This window comes from Homo sapiens, chromosome 4 (genome assembly GCF_000001405.40).
Source record: "Homo sapiens chromosome 4, GRCh38.p14 Primary Assembly".
NCBI lineage: Eukaryota > Metazoa > Chordata > Mammalia > Primates > Hominidae > Homo > Homo sapiens.
In genome coordinates this window covers 141,374,399-141,382,333 of record NC_000004.12, presented here as the reverse complement: position 1 = coordinate 141,382,333, position 7,935 = coordinate 141,374,399, and the positions used below count along the sequence as shown (strand labels likewise).

Below are 7,935 nucleotides of genomic sequence, written 5' to 3'. Positions count from 1 at the left end.
TATGGCCATTTTCATAATATTGGTTCTTCCTACCCATGAGCATGGAATGTTCTTCCATTTGTTTGTATCCTCTTTTATTTCATTGAGCAGTGGTTTGTAGTTCTCCTTGAAGAGGTCCTTCATATCCCTTGTAAGTTGGATTCCTAGGTATTTTATTCTCTTTGAAGCAATTGTGAATGGGAGTTCACTCATGATTTGGCTCTCTGTTTGTCTGTTATTGGTGTATAAGAATGCTTGTGATTTTTGCACATTGATTTTGTATCCTGAGACTTTGCTGAAGTTGCTTATCAGCTTAAGGAGATTTTGGGTTGAGACAATGGGGTTTTCTAGATATACAATCATGTCATCTGCAAACAGAGACAATTTGACTTCCTCTTTTCCTAACTGAATACCCTTTATTTACTTCTCCTGCCTAATTGCCCTGGCCAGAACTTCCAACACTATGTTGAATAGGAGTGGTGAGAGAGGGCATCCCTGTCTTGTGCCAGTTTTCAAAGGGAATGCTTCCAGTTTTTGCCCATTCAGTATGATATTGGCTGTGAGTTTGTCATAGATAGCTCTTATTATTTTGAGATACGTCCCATCAATACCTAATTTATTGAGAGTTTTTATCATGAAGAGTTGTTGAACTTTGTCAAAGGCCTTTTCTGCATCTATTCAGATAATCATGTGGTTTTTGTCTTTGGTTCTGTTTATATGCTGGATTACATTTATTTATTTGCATATATTGAACCAGCCTTGCATCCCAGGGATGAAGCCCACTCGATCATGGTGGATAAGCTTTTTGATGTGCTGCTGGAGTTGGTTTGCCAGTATTTCATTGAGGATTTTTGCATCAATGTTCATCAAGGATATTGGTCTAAAATTCTCTTTTTTGGTTGTGTCTCTGCCCAGCTTGGTATCAGGATGATGCTGGCCTCATAAAATGAGTTAGGGAGGATTCCCTCTTTTTCTATTGATTGGAATAGTTTCAGAAGGAATGGTACCAGTTCCTCCTTGTACCTCTGGTAGAATTCGGCTGTGAATCCATCTGGTCCTGGACGTTTTTTTTGGTTGGTAAGCTATAGATTATTGCCACAATTTCAGAGCCTGTTATTGGTCTATTCAGAGAGTCAACTTCTTCCTGGTTTAGTCTTGGGAGGGTATATGTGTCGAGGAATTTATCCATTTCTTCTAGATTTTCTAGTTTATTTGCATAGAGGTGTTTGTAGTATTCTCTGATGGTAGTTTGTATTTCTGTGGGATCGGTGGTGATATCCCCTTTATTGTTTTTTATTGCGTCTATTTGATTCTTCTCTCTTTTCTTCTTTATTAGTCTTGCTAGCAGTCTATCAATTTTGTTGATCCTTTCAAAAAACCAGCTCCTGGATTCATTAATTTTTTGAAGGGTTTTTTGTGTCTCTATTTCCTTCAGTTCTGCTCTGATTTTAGTTATTTCTTGCCTTCTGCTAGCTTTGAATGTGTTTGCTCTTGCTTCTCTAGTGCTTTTAATTGTGATGTTAGGGTGTCAATTTTGGATCTTTCCTGCTTTCTCTTGTGGGCGTTTAGTGCTATAAATTTCCCTCTACACACTGCTTTGCATGTGTCCCAGAGATTCTGGTATGTTGTGTCTTTGTTCTCGTTGGTTTCAAAGAACATCTTTATATCTGCCTTCATTTTGTTGTGTTCCCAGTAGTCATTCAGGAGCAGGTTGTTCCGTTTCCATGTAGTTGAGCGGTTTTGAGTGAGTGTCTTAATCCTGAGTTCTAGTTTGATTGCACTGTGGTCTTAGAGACAGTTAGTTATAATTTCTGATCTTTTACATTTGCTGAGGAGAGCTTTACTTCCAACTATGTGGTCAATTTTGGAATAGGTGTGGTGTGGTGCTGAAAAAAATGTATATTCTGTTGATTTGGGGTGGAGAGTCTGTAGATATCTATTAGGTCCACTTGGTGCAGAGCTGAGTTCAATTCCTGGGTATCCTTGTTAACTTTCTGTCTCCTTGATCTGTCATGTTGACAGTGGGGTGTTAAAGTCTCCCATTATTATTGTGTGGGAGTCTAAGTCTCATTGTAGGTCACTCAGGACTTGCTTTATGAATCTGGGTGCTCCTGTATTGGGTGCATATATATTTAGAATAGTTCTTCTTGTTGAATTGATCGCTTTACCATTAGGTAATGGCCTTCTTTGTCTCTTTTGATTTTTGTTGGTTTAAAGTCTGTTTTATCAAAAACTAGGATTGCAACCCCTGCCTTTTTTTGTTTTCCGTTTGCTTGGTAGATCTTCCTCCATCCTTTTATTTTGAGCCTATGTGTGTCTCTGCATGTGAGATGGGTTTCCTGAATACAGCACACTGATGGGTCTTGACTCTTTATCCAATTTGACAGTCTTTGTCTTTTAATTGGAGCATTTAGTCCATTTACATTTAAAGTTAATATTGTTATGGGTGAATTTGATCCTGTCATTATGATGTTAGCTGGTTATTTTGCTCATTAGTTGATTTAGTTTCTTCCTAGCCTCAGTGGTCTTTACAATTTGAAATGATTTTGCAGTGGCTGGTACTGGTTGTTCCTTTCCATGTTTAGTGCTTCCTTCAGGAGCTCTTGTAGGGCAGGCCTGGTGGTGACAAAATCTCTCAGCATTTGCTTGTCTGTAAAGGATTTTATTTCTCCTTCACTTATGAAGCTTAGTTTGGCTGGATATGAAATTCTGGGTTGAAAATTCTTTTCTTTAAGAATGTTGGATATTGGCCCCCACTCTCTTCTGGCTTGTAGAGTTTCTGCCGAGAGGTCCACTGTTAGTCTGATGGGCTTCCCTTTGTGGGTAACCCGACCTTTCTCTCTGGCTGCCCTTAACATTTTTTCCTTCATTTCAACTTTGGTGAATCTGACAATTATGTGTCTTGGAGTTGCTCTTCTTGAGGAGTATCTTTGTGGTGTTCTCTGTATTTCCTGAATCTGAATGTTGGCCTGCCTTGCCAGATTGGGGAAATTCTCCTGGATAACATCCTGCAGAGTGTTTCCAGCTTGGTTCCATTCTCCCTGTCACTTTCAGGTACACCAATCAGACGTAGATTTTGTCTTTTCACATAGTCCCATATTTCTTGGAGGCTTTGTTTGTTTCTTTTTATTCTTTTTTCTCTAAACTTCCCTTCTCGCTTTATTTCATTCATTTCATCTTCCATCACTGATACCCTTTCTTCCAGTTGAACGCATCAGCTCCTGAGGCTTCTGCATTCTTCACATAGTTCTCGAGCCTTGGCTTTCAGCTCCATCAGCTCCTTTAAGCACTTCTCTGTATTGGTTATTCTAGTTATACATTCATCTAAATTTTTTTCAAAGTTTTCAACTTCCTTGCCTTTGGTTTGAATTTCCCCCTGTAGCTCGAAGTAGTTTGATCGTCTGAAGCCGTCTTCTCTCAACTCATCAAAGTCATTCTCCATCCAGCTTTGTTCCCTTGCTGGTGAGGAGCTGCGTTCCTTTGGAGGAGGAGAGGCACTCTGCTTTTTAGAGTTTCCAGTTTTTCTGCTCTTTTTTTCCCCCATCTTTGTGGTTTTATCTACTTTTGGTCTTTGATGATGGTGATGTACAGATGGGTTTTTGGTGTGGATGTCCTTTCTGTTTGTTAGTTTTCCTTCTAACAGACAGGACCCTCAGCTGCAGGTCTGTTGGAGTTTGTTAGAGGTCCACTGCAGACCCTGTTTGCCTGGGTACCAGCAGCAGTGGCTGCAGAACAGCGGATTTTCGTGAACCACGAATGCTGCTATCTGATCGCTCCTCTGGAAGTTTTGTCTCAGTGGAGTACCCGGCCGTGTGAGGTGTCAGTCTGCCCCTACTGGGGGGTGCCTCCCAGTTAGGCTGCTCGGGGGTCAGGGGTCAGGGACCCACTTGAAGAGGCAGTCTGCCCGTTCTCAGATCTCCAGCTGCATGCTGGGAGAACCACTGCTCTCTTCAAAGCTGTCAGACAGGGACATTTAAGTCTGCAGAGGTTACTGCTGTCTTTTTGTTTGTCTGTGTCCTGCCCCCAGAGGTGGAGCCTACAGAGGCAGGCAGGCAGGCCTCCTTGAGCTGTGGTGGGCTCCACCCAGTTGGAGCTTCCCGGCTGCTTTGTTTACCTAAGCAAGCCTGGGCAATGGCGGGCGCCCCTCCCCCAGCCTTGATGCCGCCTTGCAGTTTGATCTCAGAATGCTGTGCTAGCAATCAGCGAGACTCCATAGGCATAGGACCCTCCGAGCCAGGTGTGGGATATAATCTCCTGGTGCATCGTTTTTTAAGCCCGTCAGAAAAGCACAGTATTGGGGTGGGAGTGACCTGATTTTCCAGGTGCCGTCTGTCACCCCTTTCTTTGACTAGGAAAGGGAACTCCCTGACCCCTTGCCCTTCCCGAGTGAGGCAATGCCTCACCCTGCTTCGGCTCATGCATGGTGTGCTGCACCCACTGTCCTGCGCCCACTGTCTGGCATTCCCTAGTGAGATGAACCCGGTACCTCAGATGGACATGCAGAAATCACCCATCTTCTGCGTCGCTCACGCTGGGAGCTGTAGACCAGAGCTGTTCCTATTCGGCCATCTTGATTAAGACAGATTTCTTATGGCTGACACCTGTTTTGATTCGGCAATACTCATGCCAAACTCAATATTAGATATTTTAACATTGTGCGTATGTATATTTTTCAACAATAATTCTTAATTTAGAATTCACTGAGGAAGTCCCCCTTACTGAAACTCAGTGTCCTCTTATGGCTGAAAATTAGTCATCATATTTTGAAGGGAAAGGGCAATCCAAATGAAGACCAGTAAAGAATAACTGAACTAACACACACCCTCTGAGGGAGTAGAAAATTGCATAACTTCATTCGTATTCTGTAGAACCATGATGAACATAATGAAAAAATCAAGTTTCAAAGGAGAAAATTGCATAACTTTGTATATCACACAGGCATCTGAGGCTGGAGCAGCCTCAGCTGGGAGGCATTTTGACAGCTTAGACACTGGGATCTATGGACTGGGTGGCAGCCACTACACTATTCCAAGAAGGAAGAATGAGTGAGCCCACACACGCCCAGGAGTGTACTTGCTGCCCTGCTATGAGCCGCTATTGGGACTGAGACTGAGTGGACCACACTCCCCACAGCTTTTTGTTCATGCTGCTTGCATGGATGGTGACCCACTCTCTCTGGTCCCAGGCCCAAGGTGCCATTTTGGGAGTTTAAAATGGGGCTGTGGCCCACCCTCAGCCTGAGGTCAGACTGACGCAGCTGTAGTCAACACCAAGCCCAAAAGGGACAGGGAGACCAGGCCATCCTACACAAATCTAGGAGAATACCTACTGCTCTGCAGTAGGCTGCTGTGAGAGTGAGACATGCAAATTTACACTTTCTACAGCTTCTTGCCCACACTATTTGCCTGGGCGGTCCTCCACCCTCCCTGATCTTAGGCCCAAGGAGTCACTTTTGAGAGTATAATAATGAGCTTCTCCCCACACTCAGCCTGAGTTCAGGTTGAAGCAACTGCAGCCACCACACAGCCAAGGAGGGGCAGGAGAGTCAGGCTCTCCTCCAGACCCTCCTCCTAGGGCAATACCCAATACCCTTTTTAGGCTGCTGCAAGACCAAGATTTGAGCAGGCTACATTCCCCACAGCTTCTTACCCATGTTGCTCACCTGACAGGGACCCCATCCTCTCTGGTTCAAGCCCACAGTGGGCACCATTTTGAGAGTTTAGAGACATTGTTTGGCAATTTGGCAGTGGTGGCCAAAGCAGGCATTGTACTTTGCTTTGTAGGCCCGAGATTGGAGCACTTGCTCTGGAGTTGGGGAAGGGCCCCCACAGCCAGAATTGGTGGCAAGTATGGAGAAGGCTGTAGCAGCAGGCACTGGAATTAGGCTCTCTCCTGTCACAGGACTGGATGGGGAGGAGAGCAGCTGAAGTCAAGGTTTCTCGAGGGTGATGAGACTGCATCCAGGAACAGATCTGTTACCTGAAGCTAGTCTGTGTGTGACACAACTGGGACCTCCAGCCTGCTCCCTTGTTTGGTTTGAGGGCAGACCCCCACCAGTCTTAATAAGAGATGGGAGGTGAAATCACTCCCCTTGGAAATCTAACCCTCAATATGGGCCACCCTAAGGGAGGGGGAAGCACAGCCTGCCAAAGCACTTCTTGGATCAAGGAAGTATGAGGAGGGCATCAGCCACTGGAAGCAGCACCGTTAAAGCCCAGGAATGGATATGGAGAGTGAGTCATCTCTCACCCCTCCCTTACCTCCCCTCCCCAGAGCACTCCTGCAAACACACTGAAATACAAAAGAGGCATGCAGCTGAGTAAGAGTCTATCTGCCACCCTTTACTCTTAAGTGCCAGCTACTGGACTCCAGCCTGAATTACACCAGCAAACAAAATGGCATTGTTACAACTAGCAACATCTGAGGAAGCCGTTGCATGAAAGTATCTGCAACCAAGGAACCCAAGCAGAGCCATGGAATCCTGAAAGTACCCAGAACAAAGCCAATCGATCATATACAATACACACCACAGTCATATCCCCAAGAGAAAAAAGAATAAAAAGTCAAGAAGCTCTATCCAAGTGCTGACAAATTAAAAAGTAGAAAAAAGAATGTCAGCTCTCTCGGATGAGAAGGAACCAGCACAAGAACATCAGCAATACAAAAACCCAAAGGGTTTTGTTACCTCCAAAGGATCCCAGTGGCTCCCAAGCAATCAATCCTAACCAGAATTAAATGTCTGAAATGATAGATAAAGAATTCAGAATATAGATGGCAAGAAACTAAATAAGATCCAAGAAGAAGTTGAAATCCAACACAAAGAAGCCAGAAAAACAATCCAAGATTTGAAAGATAACATCATTATAGAAAGAACCAAACAGAACTTCTGAAATTGAAAATTCATTATGGGGACTTCAAAATACAGTTGGAAGCCCTATCAACAGACTAGACCAAGCAGAATAAAGAATTTCATAGCTCAGAGATTAGTCTTTTGAATCACTCTAGTCAGACAAAAAGAAAATTTTTAAAACTGAACAAAGCCTTCGAGAAATATGGGATTATATAAAGTGACCAAATCTGTGACTTATTGGCATTTCTGAGAGAGAAGAAAAAATAAGCAAACATATTTGAGGATATAATTCAGGAAAATTTCCCCAGTCTTTCTAAAGATGTTGACATTCAGATACAAGAAATGTACAGAACTGCTGCGAGATACTGTACAAGATGACTCTCCCAAAGGCACATCGTCATCACACGATCCAAGGTCAATGTGAAATTTAAAAATCTTAAAGACAGCAAAAGAAAAGGCTCATATTACCTATAAAAGGAAACCCATCAGACTAACAGCAGACTTCTTAACAGAAACCTGTGAATCCAGAAGATATTGGGAGGCCCATTTTTAGCATTCTTAAAGGAAATGCCAGCCAAGAGTTTTATATCCCATCAAACCAAGCTTCATAAATGAAAAAGAAATAAAGTATTTTCCAGAAAAGCAACTGCTAATGGAACTTATCACCAGGAGATCAGCCCTACAAGAAATGCTTAAGGGGATTCTAAACATGGAAATGAAAGAACAACACTTGCCACAAAAGCACATGCAAGCACAAAGCACAGCCCACAGACCCTATAAAGCAACTACACAATTGAAACTACAGAACTAGCTAACAACAGTGTGATGGAAACAAAACCTCACATATAAATATTGACCTTGAATATAAACAGCCTAAATGTTTCACTTAAATGGCCTAAAGTTTTCACTTAAAAGACATAGATTGGTAAACTGTAGTGACACCCATAGGCTCAAAGTAAAGGGATGGAGAAAGATCTATCATGGAAATGGAAAACAAAAAATACCAGGGGGCACTGTTCTTACATCAGATAAAATATACTTGAATCCAAAAACAGTAAAAAGGACAAAAATGGACACTGCATAATGATAAAGGTTCAGTTCAACAA

General features: G+C 43.0%; 1 annotated feature.

The window, feature by feature from the left end:
- Positions 3,948-4,448: an enhancer, noted in NCBI's record as "H3K4me1 hESC enhancer chr4:142299040-142299540 (GRCh37/hg19 assembly coordinates)". NCBI's record gives its function as "activates a minimal SCP1, AML or CMV promoter by ChIP-STARR-seq in primed H9 embryonic stem cells {active_cell/tissue: H9 hESC(primed)}" and the evidence as "EXISTENCE:reporter gene assay evidence [ECO:0000049][PMID:30033119]".